We start from the raw sequence: 21,465 nt of genomic DNA on the forward strand, positions 1-21,465 counted from the left end.
TGCTATAGTGAACAAGCAAACAAGTGAATAAACAAGCAAACAAGTGAACAAGCAAACAAGTGAATAAACAAGCAAACAAGTGAACAAGGAAACAAGTGAATAAACAAAGGCTCTGGCACTTTGTTATCAGCCTGCACATTTCTTTTAATCCATTTTCTATTTCTCTAGGCTCCATATCTACCATCTCTAAACGCCATTAATAAGTTTTCCATCACAGAACACCAAGTTTTTGCCACTTCAAACCAAGGGTGATTTGGTAACCATTTCAGCCATGAAAAGTTCATTTTAATGTTTTTTTCTTTTCTTCTCTCTTTCCTCAAGACCATCTTAGCCACTTCTCTACAGAGTGAGTCAGGGGTGTCTTCAGCAGTCCCACTTAGAATACCAACAGTGCTAATTTGTCTTTATGGCAGGAGTCTTTTATAATGAGTTGTTTATGTAAGCATATTCCAGCCATGTGACCAGCCTCAAGCATTAAAACCCCATGGGTTCTACTGAAACCAGCTGCAAGTCAAATCCAAAACATATGTAACACATGTTACATTACTAAGCAATACTAACTGGTAATTACGTTTGTTCCCAAACAACTCACAGACCCTTGGTTGCAAAACACGGTTTATCTCAGTTAGTGCATTGGACAAGGATGATGAGTACTGTGCTTCTGGCAACTTCAGAGATAAGTATGCAACCAACAAATCCAGTCTGGCTGAGATTAACCCACGCTGTACACTAAGAGTCAGAAATCTTTTTCTGTAAGAGGCTAGATAGTAAATATTTTCTTTTATGTTTTTGGCCATAGGGTCTGTGTTGAAAATACTAAACTCTGCTTTAGCAGCATGCAATCAGCCATAGACAATGCATAAGTGAAGGGTCATGGCTGTGTTTCAGTAAGATTTTATGTATAAAATTAGGCAATGAATCATATTTGGCCCACAACTTCTAATAGTCCAATCCCTGCTACACACCATTGCTTCTCCTTATATCTGTACCTTCTCCAAATCCAGCACTGGTGAGCATCCTAGTAACTGTAATGCTGCAACACAGTTATGACCACCCTGGAGTTTATCACCTCTCTACTCATACCAGCAATGCCATCCTTACTTCTTCTAACTGGTTAGTATACCAGTTCTACAATCCAATTCTGAGAATTGGCTTCTAAGGACCACTTGTATGCCAACTGTCTTAGTTTGGGTTCTCTGAAAGCAGTGGATAGGACAAGGACATGGGTGAGGATATTTTATTATATTTGGGATATAATCCCAGGACACAGGAGTGAAGTAATGAAAGGAGTGAAACAAGGAAGGAAGAGAGGAAAATATAAGGAAACATCAAAATATCTGCTGTGGACAATGAGAACCTCAAGAAAAGCATGCAAAATATTTCCTAGAATTATAACTTAACAGTCCAAAGAATGGAAGCCTGTAGTCCTTATACACTGGCTCTCATCCTATTTATGGATGGTTATTTACTACCCTGAAATTCTAGACTGAATTTGCGCATGGGCTAAGCAGGATCTTCCAGGCTTCTGCAGAGTGTGAGATAGCCCTAGAACAGAAAGTGAAAAGATGCACGGTGCACCTGTCAGTACAAGGTGATTCTAAGGTTGCGCTGAACTATCATCACAGTTATGGCTGAAATCAGAGGTGGGCCAGGGGAAATTACTCAGGGCGTTAGAGGTAACAGTAAAACAGTGAGGGAGCACATAGAGGAAAATGTATTTTAGTACTAAGAAAGAATCATCCAAATAAACAGAAGCTTCAAAGTACTGAGAAGAGGAGTGGGGTGGCCTCATGCACAGAGTCGAAAAGCCACCGTACACTGGACAGGGGGCCCAAACTAAAACCAAGTGTCCAAGTGTCTGTTTTTTACTGCCCATCTTACATCCAGTTGTGTGGTCTGAAGTTTTCAGTCACTTTAAGACAAAGTAGATTCAGAGCAGCTCCTCCCTCTGAGTTCAAAATGAGGAGTGCCCTATTATTCTCTCCCCGGTCTCCATGGAGACATAAATGCCCAAGTAACTGATGCTACTACCTGGAGGGACTCACCTTTACCAACACCAAGGGAGCCAGCCCTGAGAGTTCATGCCAAGTCATCTTTCTCCTGCTTTGTTCCCTGGAACTGATAAACTGCTGCTTCGAAAAACCAGAAGGCCTTGCCTCTATTTTGTTTTCAGTTCTACTCCCTAAGAGCCTCAGCATAAATATGAGAGGAGATAAAGGGAAAGTTAAGAAACTTCTGTTAGCATTCTGATGTTCAAACCCAAGGTAAAATTTTAAAAATTAACCAGGTGTGGCAGCATGCACCTGTGGTCTCGGATATATTGGAGGCTGAGGCAGGAGGATCACTTGAGCCCAGGAGTTGAGTCTGCAGTGAGTCAGGTTTGCTCTCCTGCAAAACATAGCCTGGGTGACAGAGCAAGACCCTGTCTCAAAACAACAACAACAACAACAAAAAATCAAACTAAATCAACAAACAAACAAAAATCATTAAGAATAAGATCCTTAGTACAATTCAATGTTTTAAAAATAAAAAATTTATATATTTAACAAATCTGTTCAAAAATTAAGTAAATTGTTACATAGTTAACATAAACTGTTATACACTCATATGTTAACATGCACATGTTACTCATATACATATGTATATACTTATACACTTATATGTTAACACATTACATACTATTCAACTCATAACTCATATTTTAAAATTATCTAAGGACATTAAAAATTATCATATTATAAAGTCAAGTGTAAAAAATGCACAAACATTATCAGTGAGTTTTCAGTTTATATGAGTAAGGTGGTGTATTTTCTTTTCACTGCAGTCTTGATCTTCCTGTTGAGGGCCATCCAAGAGCACCATGATGAAGTGGAAAGAGATTGTTCACAAGAATGATCACTTACAGAAGACTGAGCCCAAGGCCCTTGCTGATGGATTCCCAGACTTATATGCATCCGAGATTGAAGAACTTAAACATCTTGCCCTTGCCATGACCACAAATCAGAGGTAAAGTTCAAACAATGCCTCAGATGTCTCAGAACCAAGCACTTCTGAAGTGTCTGCTGAGCTTAGCAGAGTTTCTGCTGCAGAATGGGTGACAGTATAGGGGCATAAAAGTTTGTTCTAAAAACAGTGGGAAAACGGAGGAACTGTTCTATATATAGAAACAGGAGTAATAAAAGTCTTTCATAGCATAAGAATGCAACTAGCAGTGACTAATGTCTTGTGGTTCTTTCTAGAGTAATAAAATTTAATGTCCATGGACTTTGACCTTCAAAAGACCAAAGACAGGCTGTTTCAAGAACGCGGTCTTGAACAATTTGTTGACATCTTCACAAAAGAAAAATAATTCTCTAAATCAGTAACTGAGTCTCCGGAAGGTAAGGAATCCTGATTTCATGAAATAAGGACAGCATCACAGATCTAAGGGGAAACAAAGCCTGAAAAAGAGGAAGAAAGGAAAAGACTATTCGTAAGCTTTCAAAGGAGATTGGATGGAAATTCTGTAATTAGAAGGTTACCATGTGTGGAGGGCTGTGGGGCAGGCAGCATTCAGTGTCATTTTGCATTCTTATAGAGATCTGAAATGTGTTTCCTTACTTTGCCTTTTCCAGGTTTCTTCTTGGAAACCCCCACATAGTCTCATGAGCACCTACAATGACAGAAAGGGGTAAGTCAGCAGCCCCATGTCTTTGAAATTATTGGATCGAAATTCTCCTTTCCTTTAGTTATACCTGCCATCTCTTTAATTCAGAAACAATTCTGAACTTTAGTGAATTTTTTGCAATCGTTTTATTCCTAGCTTAGGACTGTTTCTGCTCCTGAAAATCATAGAATTCCCAGATTCTGTGGGTGAGAAATCACTTCATCAGAGACACAATAAAAAACAATCAATGTTTTGAAAATGCAAAGTCTGGGTTGGTCACTGTGACTCCTGCCTGTAATCCCAGCACTCTGGGAGGCCTAGATGAATGGATGGCTTGAGCTCAGGAGTTCGAGAACAGCCTGCGCAACATGGTGAAACCCTGTCTCTACCAAAAATGCAAAAAATTAGCTGGGCATGGTAGCATGTGTCTGTAGTCCTAACTACTCAGGAGGCTGAGATGGGAGGATCACTTAAGGCAGAGGTTGCAGTGAGCCAAGATCTGGCCACTACTGCACTCCAGCCTGGGTGACAGAATGAGACACAGTCTCAAAAAAAAAAAAAAAAAAAAAGGAAGAAAAGTTTGTCACTTGAAATTTTTTTTATTATACTTTAAGTTCTTGAAATTTTTGAAGTATCATAATAGACACACTCCTAAGGGAAAGAAAATGGGAAATTACTATTTATTTATACTAATGTTTTAAAATATATATTCTCCCAGTGATCGTTTGTTTATAATGATTTGATCAGTTTCGTCTCTATTTAGTGTACTGGCAACATCTTTAGACATCAGCAAGACTCAGGAGTAACATGTTTTTGTGCTACCCATAAAATAAACAATTTTTTTCTCCAGTCAATAATCATCTCTCATCTTTCAACACAGTTGCTCTACTGCTTACTATAGGTCTGTTTTGAGTTAATTTTCAGTGAAAGGCAGGCAATTTTAACTATGAATCTTCTTTCCTGGATCAAATGACCTACCCTCCCCCAAAACATGACATGTTATTCATAATCCTGCAGTTTTATTAAGTCATGTACTCTTTCGACAAATAAAGGAGAATTCAGTTTAACTACTGACTATCACCAGATGGAATGGTTGCTACAATAAGACAAACAATCTAGTCATTGCAAGTAACCAAGATGAGCAACTTAGTTCTCTGAAAAGTTATCTAAATAAATTACTGGTCATCATACATTTTTGTGCAAAATGCTAAGAAATCTTGTTTCTTATATATTCTAGTGATTATTGTCCTTCATTTATTATTTTCAATTATGTCTCTAAAATATAACAACAGGAACAACTAAAACACAGTGTCAAAAGTGAGCTCTTCATTAAAAAAAAAACATGCACAGGATATTTGGTGCTAGTCCCAGTGGAGATTTAGGAGATTTTCAATCTGTTCAGGCCAATGATCACTGAAGCCACAGTATGACTCTATTTATTCATTTATTACAGAAAATTATTCTACAAATAGAGTAAAAATTAAGTGCCTATAGTGTGATAGTTGCCTTGTCTGGCACTACAGAGATGGCTAATTATCACTCTCAAAAATAAAGGACATTATGGGATGTAATACAATAATTGCCACAATAGTCAGCATATGATCAGTGTCTCAAAGAGAAATTCTGATGAAATACTCTGAGAGGAATGAACAAAGAAGGGAGTATTTGAAAATGGCACTGGACCACGAGCAAGATTTCAGTGGACAGGGAAGGCATTGCTGGTGGGACGTTCACTGAGCAGTCAAGAAGCAGGAAAGTGCACAGTACATTTTGAAACCAGCAAGGTGACTACTTTGGTTTCTATAGGAGAGTAACAGGAAAAAACTAGGGACAAATATTAGCTGGTGTCTACTCTCTGGATAAAGGAAGCAAAGAGTCCAATTAAACCTCTGACTATCACAGGAATACATACTGTATAAACCAGCATGATGAATTACATAAAAGGATTCATTCCAGACAAACTTGTGAAGGGGATGAAATTAGTCTTTGATTCTCATATTGTACTCCCTTCAGTGTGGTAATGCTTTCTTTAAAAATTTACTTGCAGCTCCTTACTTTATAGGAAATTGTAAAATTCTGGTTAACATCTTCAACTGTTACCTCAGAGATGTTCTATGTATTTTAATTAGAATAAAAGACTTATCATGGGAAAAATAGACACCCATAAGACACACGTACCTGCACATGTATCCACTGACCCTAAAATGAAAGTTGAAAAAGAAAAAATAAAATAAAATCAAAATTTTTAAGAGAATAAAAAGCTTTTTAAGGGTAAAACTAGAATTTCAAGCATAAATCGGTGCATAAAGAAAAATTGGGGACAGTATTAACTATCTTCTGCAAGTTTCTAAAATCAGTTACCACCTGTAGAATTAAAGCTCCATCTAAATGTTATCTGAGCCCTTGAACTTTCAGGTAGAATTTATTTTTCTTCCACAGCTATACAGATCCTGGGAGTAAAACTTCTAATGCTGCAGAACGTGAAAAATTCCACTAAAGAAGTAGTTCTAAGCATGTGGTGAGGGGTACTAGAGCATTCGATGCTGGTTATTTAGGCAACATCCATTATGAACTCATCTCTCTGTTTGTTTCTTCCATAGAAGCCGGAGTGCCTACACTTTTTATCTAGCCTCCCTTGCAAATACAGATGACTATGTCACATACTTCTGGCCACAGAGACTGAAGCAGAGGTCTGCTGGGGGACCTTCTGGAAAACATATGCTTCACTGATAAAAGGGACAGATAGAGTTTATTGATATCTTACAGCTAACATTATAATTAATGAGGGAAAACAGAAAGTCCACTAAAATCCAGTACAAGACAAGGATGTCCACTCTTGTCACTTCTATTCAACATACTGCTGTAAGTACCAGCAAGAGCAATCAGACAATCAAGGAAATAAAAGGCATTCAAACTAGAAAGAAAAAAGTAAAATTGTCTCTAATTTGCAGGTGACATAAGTCTATATGTAGAAAACCCTAATCATTCCACAACACACAAAAAAAGTTAGAACTCATAAATGGATTTAGGAAATTTTTAAGATACAGAATCAATACACAAAAATCAGTGGTATTTTTATACACGAATAATGACCTTGCTGAAAAATAAATCAATAAAGCAATTTCATTTAAAATAACATCAAAAAGAATACAGTCATGTATCACTTAACAATGAGGATACATTCAGACAAATGTGTAATTAGACAATTTCATCATTTTGCAAACATCATAGAATGTACTTACACAAACCTAGATGGTATAGTCTGCTGCACACCTAGGCTATATAGGACAGCCTATTGCTCCTAGGCTACGAATCTGTACAGCATGTTACTGTACTGAATACTGTAGGCAATTATAATACAATGGTAAGTATTTGTGTATCCAAACATAGAATAGGTACAGTAAAAATATGGTATTATAATCTTATGGGACTCCTGCTGTATATACTGTACCTCCTTTTCTATGTTACAAAAGATTAAAAGCAGTATATCTGTATAGGATACTTCCCATGAATGGAGCTTGCAGGATTGGAACTTGATCTGGGTGAGCCATGAGTAAGAGAAGTGAAGTGAGTGAATATAAAGGCCAAGCACATTACCATATTCTTTTAAACAATTGGCAGTGCAGTAGGTTTGTTTACACCAGCATCACCTCAAAGGTGTGGGTAGTGCCTTGCATGATGTCATTATGATGTCTACAACATTACTAGGCAACAGAAATTTCTCAGCTCCATTATAATTTTATGAGACCGCCATTGTATATGCAGTTTGTTGTTGACCAAAACATTATTATGTGGTACATGACTGTACTTGGGAATAAATTTAACCAAGGAAGTGAAAGACTTGTACACTATAGAAATAAAAACTACAAAACGCTGATACAAAAAATTAAAGAAAACACAAATACTTGGGAAAAATCCCATGCTTAGGAATAAATAATCAATGGCCATACTACCAAAAGCAATCTACAGACCCAGTACAATACCTATCCAAATTCCAATGGCATTCTTTACAGAAATTGAAATAAAATATCTTGAAATCAAATGGAACCACAGAAGACTCTGAAAAGGCAAAGCAACTCTGAGAAAGAAAAACGAAGTTGGAGGCAAACTGAATGTCTACACAAAAAGAGTAGCAATGGATTATAGGATTATCTCAATAAGTACACAATAAACATTTGACAAAATTTCACATCTATTCATTATAAAAATTCAGCACACTAGAAATAAAGGGAGACTTCTCCAATATATTAATAACAAAAGCACCTACCAAAAACCCACAGTTGGCATGATATCTGATGTTGAAAAACAATGCTTTCTCTGTGATAAATAATGAGGCAAGGATGTCTTCTCTCATGATTCCTATTCAACATCCTAAGATAATAGAATCTGGAAAGAAAAAATAAAAGACATTTATTTTAAAAAGGAAAAATAAAACTGTCTCTACTTGTAGTTAACATAAATATTCACATAAATAATTCCAAAGAATTTATTTTAAAAAGCTACTAGAACTATTATGTGAGTTTAGAAAGTTTGGAGGACATGAGGCCAATATACAAACATAAATCATATTTCTATATTATAGCAAAAACAATTGGAAAATAAAATGTTTTAAAGTACCATTTTACAATAGCACTGAAAAACATTAAATACTTGAGTATAAATTTAACAAAATATGTGCAATCTGCCTGCTGAAAACTAAAAAACAAATTAAAAAGACACAGGTGAGTGGAAATAAATACCATGTTTACTGATTGGAGAACTCAAAGTTATAAAGATTTTAATTTTCCCTAAACTGATGTATAGATTCAATAATATTTAAAAGTAAAATCCCAGCAAATTGTTGTGCAGTAATGAACATGCTGATTCTAAATTTGTATAAAGAAAAAGGCAGTTGAATTTCCAAAACTTTTTTTTAATTGGATGACTCACAATATCTAATTTTAGATTTGCTATCAAGCTGAAGTTATCAAGAAAGTATAATCTCAGCATAAAGGTAGACATGTAGATCAATGGAACAGATTTTAACATCCAGAAACAGGCCCACATCTATTTGGTCAGCTGATTTTTGACAAGGATCCAAACACAATTGAGTAAGTTGGGCTATTTGAAGGGAATATAAAGGAAAATCTAAGTTAGAATTAGAAAAAGTTTTCTTAGATATGATACCAAAAGTATGATCCATAAAAATTGAGTAACTGAACTCCATCAAATTAAGAGCTTTTACTCTTCTGTTAAGAGTAACTTATAGACTGGAAACAATTTGTAAATAACATATCTGCTAAAGATTTTGTATACATCTGATGAAAATAAATGCAAAATCATCCATAAAATAATAGCAAACCAACTACAACAACACAGTTAAAAGTTCATTCACCACAATCAAGTGGGATTCATTCCAGGGATGCAAGGATGGTTCAACAACACAAATCAATCAATGTGATATGTTACTTCAACAGAATTGAAGACAAAAACCATATAATAATCTCAGTGGATTCTGAAAAGGCATTCAATAAAGTTCAACCTCTCTTCATGATAAAAACTCAAAAAATTGGGTATCAAAGGAGAATACCTCAACACAATAAAGGCCATTATAACAAACCCACAGCTAATAAAATGAACAAGGAAAAATTAAAAACCTTTCCACTAAGATCTGGAATAAGGCAAGGATGTTCACTTTCACCACTTTTATTCAACATAGTACTGGAAGTTTTAGACAGAAAAATTAGGCAAGAGAAAAAAACAAAAGGCATCCAAATTGGAAAGGAAGAAGTCAAACTGGCCTTATTTGCAGATAATATGATCTAATCTTTATGAAAACCTAAGGACTCCACAAAAAAAATCTTAGAACTAATAAATGAATTTATCAAAGTTATAAGATACAAAATCAACAAACAGAAACCAGTAACATTTATATATGCTAAGAGCAATCAATCTGAAAATAAACAGGAAAGCAATCCCATTTATAATAGCTACAAAAACAAAATACTTAGGAATACATTTAACCAAGGAGGTAACAGATCTCTACAGGAAAAACTATAAATCACTGTTGAAACAAATTGAAGAGGACACAATAAAATGGAAGAATATTCCGTGGTCATGGATTGGAAGAATTAATATTGTTAAAATGTATATAGTACTCAAAGCAGCCTACAGATTCAGAGCAATCCCTATCAAAATACCAATAATATTCTTCACAGAAATAGAAGAAACAATTATAAAATTCATATGGAAACAAAAAAATACCCCAAATAGCTAAAGCAATCCTAAGCAAGAAGAACAAGACTGGAGGCATCACACTACCTGATTTCAAATTATGTTGCAAAGCTATAGTAACCAAAAGTACATGATACTGGCAAGAAGCAGACACACAGGCCAATGGAAAAGAACAGAGAAACCAAAAATAAATCCACACACCTACAGCCAACTTATTTTCAACAAAGGTGCTATGTTAATCTGTTCTCACACTGCTATGAAGACATATCTGAGACTGGATAATTTAGAAAGAAAAGAGGTTTAACTGACTCACAGTTCCACAAGGCTGGGGACGCCCCAGGAAACTTACTATCATGGCAGAAGGAAAAATAGGCATATCTTACATGGTGGCAGGTGAGAGAAATGCTGAGAAAAGAGGGAAAAGTCCCTTAGAAAAGTATCAGATCTCATAAGAACTCACTCACTATCATGAGAACAGCATGAGAGTAACCACCCCCGTGATTCAATCACCTCCCACCGGGTCCCTCCCACGACATGTGGAGCTTATGGGAACTGCAATTCAAGATGATATTTGGGTGGAGACACAGCCAAACCATATCAGGTACCAAGAACATATATTGGGTAAAAGACAGTATCTTAAATAAATGGTACTGGAGAAACTTGATTATCTATGTGCAGAAGAATGAAAGTAGATCCCTCTGTTCCACCAAATTAAAAAAAAAATCAACTCAAAATGGCTTAAAGGCTTAAATGTAAGGTCTGAAATCATAAAACTACTAGAAGAAAACTACAGACATTGGTCTGGGCAAAGATTTTTTTGAGTAAGACCTTAAAAGCACAGGCAACAAAAGCAACATTAGACAAATGGTATTACATCAAGCTAAAAAGTTTCTGAAAGCAAATGAAATAGCCAAAAAAATGAAGAGACAACCTACAGAATGAGAGGAAATATTTACAAACCAACCATCCAACAAGAAATTAATAATCAGAATATATAAAGAACTCAGTAGCAAAAAAATAATAATCTGACTTTTAAATGGGGGAAACAATCTGGATACACATTTTTCAAAAGAAGACATACAAATGGTCAATAAGGATATGAAAAAGTGCTAGACATCAGTAATTATCAGAGAAATGTAAATCAAAATCACAATGAGATTCCCTCTCACCACAACTAGCTAGAATGACTGTTACCAAAAAGACAAAAAAAAAACTGACAAATGCTGGTGAGGATGTACCACTTGTACACTATTGGTGGGAATGTAAATTATAGCCATTATGGAATACAGTGTGGAGATTCCTCAAAAAACAGAACTACCATAAGATCCAGCAATTCCACTGTTGGGTACATATCCAGAGCAAAGGAAATCAGTAAGTATATCAAAGATATTTCTGCACTTTCATGTTTATTACAGCACTATTCATAATAGCCATATATGAAATCGGCCTAAGCATCCAACAACAGATGAATGGATAAAGAAAATGTGGTATATACAAACAACAAAATAGTATTCAGCCATTTAAAAAATAAAATCCTGTTATTTGCAGCAACATGGATAGAACTGCGGGTCATTATGTGATTATGTTAAGAGAAATAAGCCAAGCTCAAAAAGACTAATATTACATCTTCTCATTCATATGTGGGAGCTAAAATAATGGATCTCAAGGAGATAGAGAGTAGAATGGTGGTTACTAGAGCCTGGGAAGAGAGTGGGGGGCAGGGTGAAGAGAAGTTGGTTAAATGGTACAAAAATACAGAGAGACAGAAGGAATGAGTTCTAGTATTTGATGCAGTAGGGAAATTATGGTTAATAACTTATTGTATATTTCAAAATAAGTAGGAGAGAACTGTAATGTTCCCAACACAAAAGATAAATGTTTGAGGTGACAGATATCCCAATTACCCTGATTTGATCATTACACATTTTATAGAGGCATCGGGATAACACATGTACCCCAAAAATATGTACAACTGTTACCTATTAATTTTTTAAAAGACTGTATCCAGAATATAAAAAGAACTGTAAAAACTCAATAATAAAAATGAAATCAGTAAAGACATGAGCAAAAGATCCAAATAAAAACTATCAAATCGGGTATACAGATGGTAAATAAATCCACTTAAAAGTTAATCTATATAATCAACATTTCAAAAATGCTTTTAGAAACAATTGAAAATACCAAGTCATGGTGAAGAGATAGAGGAACTGAAACTCTCATACTTTGCACATGGGACTGTATCTTAGTACAGTTTCCTTTGAAAACCAATTGACAGACTCCTTTTAAATTTTATTTTATTTTTTACTTACAAAAAAGTATACATTTGTGGAGCGCAATGTGATACTATGAATAATGTGAATTATTAAATTAGGCCAATTAACATATCTTTCACCTCACATACTTATCGTATCTTTGTGGTGAGAACACTTAAAATCTAATCTTTTAGCAATTTTGTAATGTACAATATATTATTTTTAACTATAGTCACCATGCAGTGCAATGGATAACTAGAATTTATTCTGCCTAACTGAGCTTTGTATCCCTTGACTGACCTTTCCCTTTTCCTTTTCTGCCTTCCCACTCCCTGCCCCCAGCCTCTGGTAGTGACTATTCTACTCTCCACTTCTATGAGTCGGACACTTTTAGATTTAACATATAGGTAAGATTATATAATATTTGGCTTTCTGTGCGTGGCTTATTTCACTTAGCACATTGTCTTCTAGATTGATCAATGTCACAAATGACAGAATTTTCTTTTTTTTAAAGGATGAATAGTGTTCTATTGTGTATATTTACCACATTTTCTTTACCTGTTCATGTGCTGATAGGCACTTAGACTGTTTCCATATCTTGACTATTGAAGCATTATTCAATGTTTCAATGAATACGGGAATGCAGATATCTCGTCAACATAGTGATTTCAATTTGTTTGGATATATGCCCAGAAGTGGGATTGGTGAATCATATAAGAGTTCTATCTCTTTTTTTTTTTTTTGAGGAACTTTTATACTGTTTTCTAAAATGGCTGTGCTAATTTACATTCTCTCCAATAGTGTACAAGGGTTCCCTTTTCTCCACATCTCACCAACACTTATCATTCATTTTTTTGTTAATAGCCATTCTAACATGTGTGAGGTGATAACTCACTGTGTTTTTAATTCACATTTCCTTGATAATTAATGCTATTGAGCATTTTTATATATCTGTTGGTCATTTTTATGTCTTCTTTTGAGAAGTGTCTACTCATATCCCTTGCCTTTTTTTTTTTTTTTTTTTTTTTTGACAGAGCCTTGCTTGTCTCCAGGCTGGAGTGCAGTGGCACAATCTCGGCTCACTGCAACCTCTGCCTCCCGGGTTCAAGCAATTCTCCTGCCTCATCCTCCCGAGTAGCTGGGACTACAGGCGCACCCCAGCGCGCAGGGCTAATTTTTTGTATTTTAGTGGAGACGGGGTTTCACCATGTTGACCAGGATGGTCTCGATTTCCTGACCTCGTGATCCGCCCGCCTCGGCCTCCCAAAGTGCTGGGATTACAGGGGTGAGCCGCTGCGCCCGGCCTGCCCATTTTCAGTAAGGTTATTTGTTTTCTTGTTATTGAGTTGTTTATTTGTATAATTTGGACATTAGCCCCTTTTCAGATCTATGATTTGCAAATACTTTCTTCCAATCTGTGGGTTTCTCTTCACTCTGCTCATTGTTTCCTTTGCTGTGCAGAAGCTTTTTAGTTTGATGTAATCCCATTTGTCTATTTTTCTTTGATACATGTGGTTTTGGGTCATATCTAAGAAATCATTGGCCAAACCAACATAATAATTCTTTTCCCCTATCTTTTCTTCTAATAGTTTTATGATTTCAAGCCTTATGTTTAAGTATGTAATTCATTTTGAGTTGATTCTTGTGTATAGGCTTAGATAAGTTTCCAAATTTATTCTTTGCCATGTGAATATTCAGTTTTCCCAATGGCATCTATTGAAGAGACCATCCTTTCTTCATTGTGGGTACTTGGAACCTTCCTCAAAAATCAATTGACTGTAAATCTCAGGGAGAAGTTGGATGTTGGAAATGCCTTCCTCATCATATGGCACAGTATCCAGGGAGGGATTTGAGCCCATGTGTGCCTCAGCTGTTTCTATCTGTTCGATGTGGGTATTTTCTCAGTTGCCCAGTGCATAGAATCTCTGAACTCATTTCTGACTTTCTCTCAGAGGGAATTTATCAGCATGTTAATGTTTATTCAGTGCATCTGTGGGTGGAAGAAGAGTCAAGACTCTCCTGTTCTGCCATGTTGCTGATGTCTTCTAGTTTGTTTCCTATAAAGGTAAATTTACACTTACCATATATAACCCAACGATCTGACTGCTAAGAGAAACAAAAACTTACGTTCACACAAAAACCTGCATGCATATATTTATAGCAACTGCATTCATAATCATCAAAAGCCAGAAACAATCCAATTGTCCTTCAACTTAAGACCGAGAAGCTCTTTATCCATACAATGGAATATTACACAGGAATAAAAGACAACTGATTATTGATAAAGATAGAAGATGGGTGATGTCCAAATATATTATGCTCTGTGAAATAAGCTAGGCTCCAAAGGCTGGATCCTGTGTGGTTCCATTTATATGAAATTCTGGAGAAATGCAAAACTTTAGGGTCACAAATATTTGAAAACAGATCAGCAGTTATCAGGGACCATGAATGGAGGGAGGAGCTGATCTCAAAGGGGCATTGGGAATTTTTTTTGGGTAATGAAACTGTTCTATATTGTGATTTTGGTGCTGGTTACACAATTAATGTACCCATTACAGCTGACAGAGCTGTGTACTAAAAAAAAAGTGAATTTTACTCTAGGTAAATTATATGTTATAAAACTAAAACTAAGCTAAAGCTATGAAGCTCCTGGAAGAAAGATAGGAGAATACCTCTGAAACTTTGGGGTAGGCAAAGATTTCTTTAGGCCTAGGTAGCAATAACCTTTAAAGTATAATATACTGGACTTCATTAAAATGTGTATTTCTTCTTATTTAAAGATATCATTAAGACCATGATTATGTGAGCCTCAAACTGAAAGAAAACATCCATAATATGTTTGCCAAGCAAAAGATTAATAATTAAAATATAAAGTGTTTCTGTAACATAATAGTAAAAAGACAAACCATTCAATTTTTAAGTGAGTCTACCTTGAGTAGAAACTTCAATTTAAAGAGATGTACAAATGGCCAATAGGCACATGGAAAATGTTCTACGTCATCAATCACCAGGGAAATAATTACAAAATGGCTAAAATCCAGAGACTTGTACCTGAGTATTTACAGCAGCTTCAATCATAATAGCCCTAACCTGGAAACAGTCCAACTGTCCAGCATCAGGATAAATATTTATGAAATGGAATACTATTCAGCAATGAAAAATGAAGTACTGAACAACATAATGAATCTCAGAAAGACTCCATTTATGTAAAATTCTAGAAGAGGCAAAACTATTCTATGGTGATAAAAACAAGAACATAACTGTTTCAGGGAGAGGGTGGAGAATTAACTGTTTTGAGAGAACGAGGAAACTTTCTTGAGTGATGGAAATGGTCTCTCTCTTAATAGCAGTGTAGTTACATGTGTATGCATTTTTCAGTTCTGGTCAATCCTTATGATTTTTACATTTCATTGTATTTAAATTATACTTCAACTTTCCTTACTGATGTTTTTTAAAAATATAAAGTACAGGAGATTCCTCTTCTTCTGTTGGACAAGGTTAAATTTTCCTCATTAAATAGAAATTAGATAAATACATGATATTTTATTCACTTTATCCATCATCATATCCTGAATATCCAGAACAGTGCCCAGCACAAATCAGATTTCCAATAAATATCTGGAGAGTGATTGTTTGTGTCACTTGGAACTGCCACTACCATCTTGGAACCCTGAGTCCAAAGGCAAGAAGATGAGTAGAAAAAAAGAAGGTAAAAATATATAACCTGATTTGGCTAAGCCATGGGATTATCCAAGTTAAAATTTGTCCTATCTCCATCTTCCTATTTATATGAGAGAATAAATTGTATTTCTTAATCATTTGATTAATTTTAGTTGTTCTGAATTTAGTTGTTCTTCTCATACATTTGTTGAGAAGATTAAACAATACTATAAATATGAAATGCTTTATATAGGTTAAAAAAGGGTAATTCATGCATAGTTAAGGTACCTTATGATGATTATCTGTGATCATAATATACTCCTTCTACCTGAAAAAAATCTCACAAATTGTACAATTCAAGCATGGAAAAAGGGATAAGAAGTTGTATGATTTTATTCCTTTGAATTTACAGACTTGTTGCAGCATCTCATGTGTCTAACCTGAAGATAAACCAGCATCAGAAAGCATTAATTAGCTCATCATTCAAACTGTCTTCAGTGAAAAATTATCTGAGGCTGTGCAAGCCAGGAAATGCCTGTCAGTGCTCAACCTGTCAGAATCTCCATTTGACCACAGGGTCATTTGCAGTGGCATCTGATGGGAAAGTCAGCATCCCCAGTAGCATACTCGTGAGAGCATTTCCCCAGGACTGTTCTAGTAAACAGGCTCTGGCTCATTGCTTAAATGTTGGCTAAAGACAGAGCCATCTGGAAAGCAGGGTATTAGAATGATCTCTATTTTTCCAAGAATCAAAGCAAGGTGGAACATTTCAGAATGAAACCATGGATGTTATTCATAAAATCTGGGCCACATAAGGTTAGAGGCATATTGATTTTCAGTCTCAGGATGAAATGGCCATCTTTGGCCTTTCAGGAAAATGACCACAGATTAAGATGATGAAGAACAGATGCCACTATTTGAAGCTTCAATTAGAAAGCCCCAAATGGGCTTAATCGACAAGACAGCCATAACAACTGTGTCCTGCCACAGATTGACGGAAGGAAGACAAATGTTTTAATGTGGTGAAGACAAATCTAGCTGCTTCCAAACAAATGATCTGGTCAGTTTGAAAAAGTTGGAAGGAATCAAACTTGCCAATATGTACCAAGTTCCAGGAAGGACTTAGATTTGAGTAATTCATGTTGGAATTAAGTTTAAGAACAAAAACCTTTTTTAAAAAATGTTTTCTTAGATGAGCTCACCCATGAGACTATCTATACCTGGCAGGGTTTAGAGAAAGCATAGACATAAATCTACCTCTGCCTTGCCTAGAAGGCTTTGTGTCTCTTTTTCTGTAAATCTTCCTCTCTTTTAGTAGCCCTTCCCTTCCCACTACCCAAAAGCATCATCCTCCCATAATGGCTCAGACATAGATTATATCTATAAATTCATTCCCACCAATTAGTGATCACTGACTAATGTTGAATTATTTTTCTTTATGGAAAAACCTAGTGTTTACGCCAGTGAAATGTATCACTAATAGTTGGATTTCAGGTATCAGCCACTAGTTGGAAAGATATCAGAGGGAAAACATATATTCATTCCACAGTCATTTATTCATACGATAGCCATTAATATCACCTTTTTGAACATCTTCCTTTTGTAAGTTACAATGAAAATACAATAAAATATAAGTTAAATTTCTTTTGCTCCAGATTTTATTTACAAACAGGGGAGTTAAGATATATAGATAAATAACTATACATTAAGTCAGTGCCTGATATAGATATATCATTTTTTAAAATCCTATATTCCCCAGAAATTTAGAGAATGAAGAGAAAACTTCTAAGATGTTCGTAGAATGCTTCAGGGAAGAGGTTTGATAATGAGCTGTTCATGAAAGATTGAACTCATGAAACTGGGGATAAGGAAGACAGTCTCGGAGGGGAAAATGGCACAAGCAAACGTGTGGAGGAAATGCAAGTGTGAAGAATGGGCATCACCAATTCTTACATGAGTGATCACCTCAGGGTGTGTCAACTTACCTTGGGCTTCTGCAAAACAGTCAAGAAAACTGCTTTTTATTATTTTCTGTTTTCTGAATCAGCAACTCTGTCACAAGCTAGAAGTCCCTGTATTATTCTTCATTCTATTACTTTTCATGTAAGACTTGAAAACTCTTGGGAGCCTTGGTCTACTAATTCATATGTCATGTTTGAGTTACATTTTAGAAATAGCAAATACACTTGAGGCAAACAGGCCCTAGTTTTGTTTTGTTTGTCTTCTCCTCACTGAAATTAAATTAAAATCTATACCTTTCCTCTGATGTTAGTAACCTCTTTGTTTTGTTTCTTTAATAAAGAGAAAAACACTATTCACAACCGCAGTCCCAAAACAATCTCCAGGGATTATCTAAGCAACGCACTTGTTTCCAGGCATTAGTGCACTTATTGTATTAATATTTCATAAACAACATAATACTACTGATAATTAGTAGTCTTATAAATGAATAACAACTTTGAATAATCTGGTCTTAACATAATAACTTGAAGTTAACTGAGCTCATTAAGTTATAATAATTTAGGCAGAGATTTTCTATTTACATGACAAGGATTAGGAAGCCTTTACCTTTAAGCTAATACATGAATATGAGAAATCAGTTTTGAAAGGATGATTATCATTATTGGTATTATTACTAACACTGAAGATTTACACAAATCATAGCATGTAGAACCTTTATAAAGAAAAGGTTCATTCAAAATTTAAAGGGCAATGCCCAGTTAGTTTCAGCGTATTTACATCTTCCAGGCCTGCACATATGGACACTTAATGCCAGGAAGGGAACAAGCTGTGTGGAAAGAAAAAAGCTTGACCTTGTATCAGTCACTCACTAGCTGTTTGACCCCTAGCAATTAACCTAAATTTTCTGAGCCTCAGTTTTCTTGAATGTGAAGTAGAGATCAAAGTGCCTATCACATAGTTGTGATAAGAGGATTGGGTGACATGAAGTCTATAAAGTTGCTGCAGAGAACCCACACAAGCAAGCATTCTGGGAGACACTTTTTTTCTGAAATTGATAGTAATCAATGTTCACGTCTCTAAAATGGTAACTCACTCTAACAACCTATTTCCAGGGTTGCATGTGTGTTCTAGGTTGATTTATGTACAGTTTCTCCAGCTCTGAGCCAGTGCAAACATGGCTGAGGCCTTTGTACCTCCTTTCACTACTTGAAGTGTTAACTCCCACTGGACTGGGAATCACAATTGCATTGCCTGATGGCTGGTAATGCGCTTTAGATACAAACTTAGAGACATTTTTCACCTTCTGGAACAACAACAAAAAATACTGAAAACGGTGCTGGTGAAAGGAATCTTCCTCATAATCGAATTTGAAGCGATCTTTTCCAGAGGATTCACGAATGGCCCAGTGTTGTTTGCTCTGCATAGTGATATGCATTGTTCCACCAAACATGGTTTGTTTTATTTCTTACTTATTTTCACAAATATATTTTTAAAACTCTAATAAACATTTAAAATCAAAAACACAGGATTCTGAATGTCCAAATGTTTCCATCTTCTTCACATGAAGTAATTTTTCTAACATAATGTGGTAGAAACTTAACCTCAGACTTGCCCTTAACCAATTCACCAGATTACTCAAGCTCTTCATTCCCACTACAACACATGTTGACTGGCAATGAAGTCTCACCAAATGCTTCGGAAGCCTGCCCACCCCTACGCTCACGTGCTGCACATGTACCAAGACTCAGTTGCATTTCTCCCAAACATGTTTATGCTGCTTAAATTTATTATGATGATTTCACAATTTAATTAAATATTACAAAAAGCTATCAACTATGAGTGAGAAAATTTTTCTATGAAAATTGAGTGGAAAACTTTGGAAAGTCTCAATGAATGTAAATGACATATAAAAACCACAACCAATTAGGTAGAGGCAGACAAACATAAACAAATTAAGGGAAACAGCAATAAAAATCTAGGATTCTGCCCTTTGACCGTTTTTCCTCTTTAAATTTCTTCTTTCACAGTGAAGAAATTGAACTTGGGCATTGAAGGTGATGCATCAATGCTTAATGGAAGAAAAATAACATTGAGCTTCCAACAGTGGACCTATACTTAATCTACCAAAGGAAAAAAAAACTGTGCATGAAGATCCATTTATATGTTTTAAGTTAATATAAAATGTCTAAGTTGGTTGTGGATTTTCCCAATTTCCCAATTTCACCTCCTGTATGAACTAATTAATCCATTGCAATTCTAACATATCTAATTTCTAAAACTTCTGTTACTTTAGAATGCGTCTGTATTCTTCAACGTATTTTTGTACAATGACAAATCAATCTTAATTGTTGTATTCTTTTAGCAGGGAACAAAAACATGAAACCTTAAATTCAAAATGAATTAAACAGAAATTAAGACTTTAACAGGCTAGGTGTGGTGGCTCACACCTGTAATCCCAGCATTTTGGGAAGCTGAGGCGCGGGTATTACTTGAGGGCAGGAGTTTGAGACCAGTCTGGCCAATATGGCAAAACCCCATCCCTACTAAAGATACCAAAAAAAAAATTAGTCAGACGTGGTGGCAGGTGCCTGTAATCCCAGCTACTGGAAAGGCTGAGGCAGGAGAATCGCTTGAACCTCGGGAGGCAAAGGCTGCAGTGCAGTGAGCCGAGACCATGCCACTGCACTCCAGCATGAATGACAGAACAAGATTATCTCAAAAAAAAAAAAGTTAACACTTAATTAGCAATGATGTTTTAATGGCTATCTTTAGTGATTTCCCATGAGTAGGAAGTCTCCAGGTGCCTCTTCTCCCTCTGGATATTAGTCTCCTTCCTGCCACCATTGCCTTCGTTGCCTTTAGCTATACAAGATTCTTTTATGCCTTGGATGACCACATACACACCATGGCTACAGAGGACAGTCTGGTTTAAGTCCATTGGATCAACATAACTATTGAAAGTCCTCCATTTCACTTCCATTGTTGTCCTAGTTTGAAAGATACAGTATATGGACTCCATATTTGTATAAGACCTCATACTACCCTGCTCTCTGAATTTTTTACTTTCTCATCTTCTCTTTCTTTTGTTCTCTTTGTGCACTTGACCTTGAGAAAAAAAATCACTCTTCAGACATGTATTCCTGACTTAGAGATAACCTCCTGCAAGATCTTATTAAAGATTTACAAAAAGAGTGACTTAGTTAGAAGAAAATATAAATATATCACAGAACTCTGATGTCAGAGTCCTCATTGCCAACCAGGGCCATTAACCAAAAGATCCTAAAAAGCCAAGGCAATATGCATCTCTCTGTCTCTGTTTCTGACTGTGTGGTCCCTCATCTTATCCTCTTTTTGGATGTCTGTTTCATCCTCCTTTTCCCTACTGACCAGCTCTTTCTCCTTTACTCTCACTTAACTCAAACTTGGGTTTACATCAACTACCTGACTTTTTGTCACCTACCAGTTCAAGTGCTTAAAAGAAACAACTTCATTTGCCATGGCTGTACTTGACATTCTCGAGAGAAAAAATTGATCCAATAAGCCCAACACTTAGGTTAGCTTTTTCGTATTACACCAATGACTGATTCAATAAACTGTAAGGGTTGTGGGTTATGAGAGAAAGGCCACATGGTCCAGGGCAGGTGGAACTATATGATACAGATTCTCTAACAAGGGGACATGAGCACAGAAAAACATCATTGGCATTTGTAATATTTCTCTTCAGACTCTGAA

General features: G+C 35.8%; 1 long non-coding RNA gene across 3 annotated transcripts, besides 2 other annotated features; it reads left to right on the plus strand.

Annotated features, from left to right (window-relative positions):
* Window positions 474-674: a silencer, noted in NCBI's record as "peak1642 fragment used in MPRA reporter construct". NCBI's record gives its function as "represses an SCP1 promoter by STARR-seq MPRAs in K562 erythroleukemia cells {active_cell/tissue: K562}" and the evidence as "EXISTENCE:reporter gene assay evidence [ECO:0000049][PMID:32103011]".
* On the plus strand, window positions 1,988-19,206 carry LOC101928735 (uncharacterized). 3 transcript variants are annotated; one of them, XR_001749059.1, is made up of 7 exons: window positions 1,988-2,264; window positions 2,825-3,006; window positions 3,240-3,380; window positions 3,615-3,670; window positions 14,064-14,176; window positions 15,693-15,820; window positions 16,184-17,505. It is a non-coding gene; the product is annotated as an uncharacterized LOC101928735 (long non-coding RNA). The 3 variants fall into 3 exon arrangements; XR_242930.3 differs by lacking the exons at window positions 14,064-14,176; window positions 15,693-15,820; window positions 16,184-17,505 and adding an exon at window positions 17,531-19,206; XR_931469.2 differs by lacking the exons at window positions 14,064-14,176; window positions 15,693-15,820; window positions 16,184-17,505 and adding an exon at window positions 6,247-6,502.
* Window positions 2,764-3,963: an enhancer, noted in NCBI's record as "CDK7 strongly-dependent group 2 enhancer chr12:29194325-29195524 (GRCh37/hg19 assembly coordinates)". NCBI's record gives its function as "activates an origin of replication core promoter dependent on BRD2, BRD4, P300/CBP, MED14 and CDK7 cofactors, with strong dependence on CDK7, by STARR-seq in HCT116 cells {active_cell/tissue: HCT116}" and the evidence as "EXISTENCE:reporter gene assay evidence [ECO:0000049][PMID:35650434]".
* Window positions 19,207-21,465: the final 2,259 nt, after the last annotated feature.

The sequence above is a fragment of the Homo sapiens genome, chromosome 12 (genome assembly GCF_000001405.40).
Source record: "Homo sapiens chromosome 12, GRCh38.p14 Primary Assembly".
Taxonomy (NCBI): domain Eukaryota; kingdom Metazoa; phylum Chordata; class Mammalia; order Primates; family Hominidae; genus Homo; species Homo sapiens.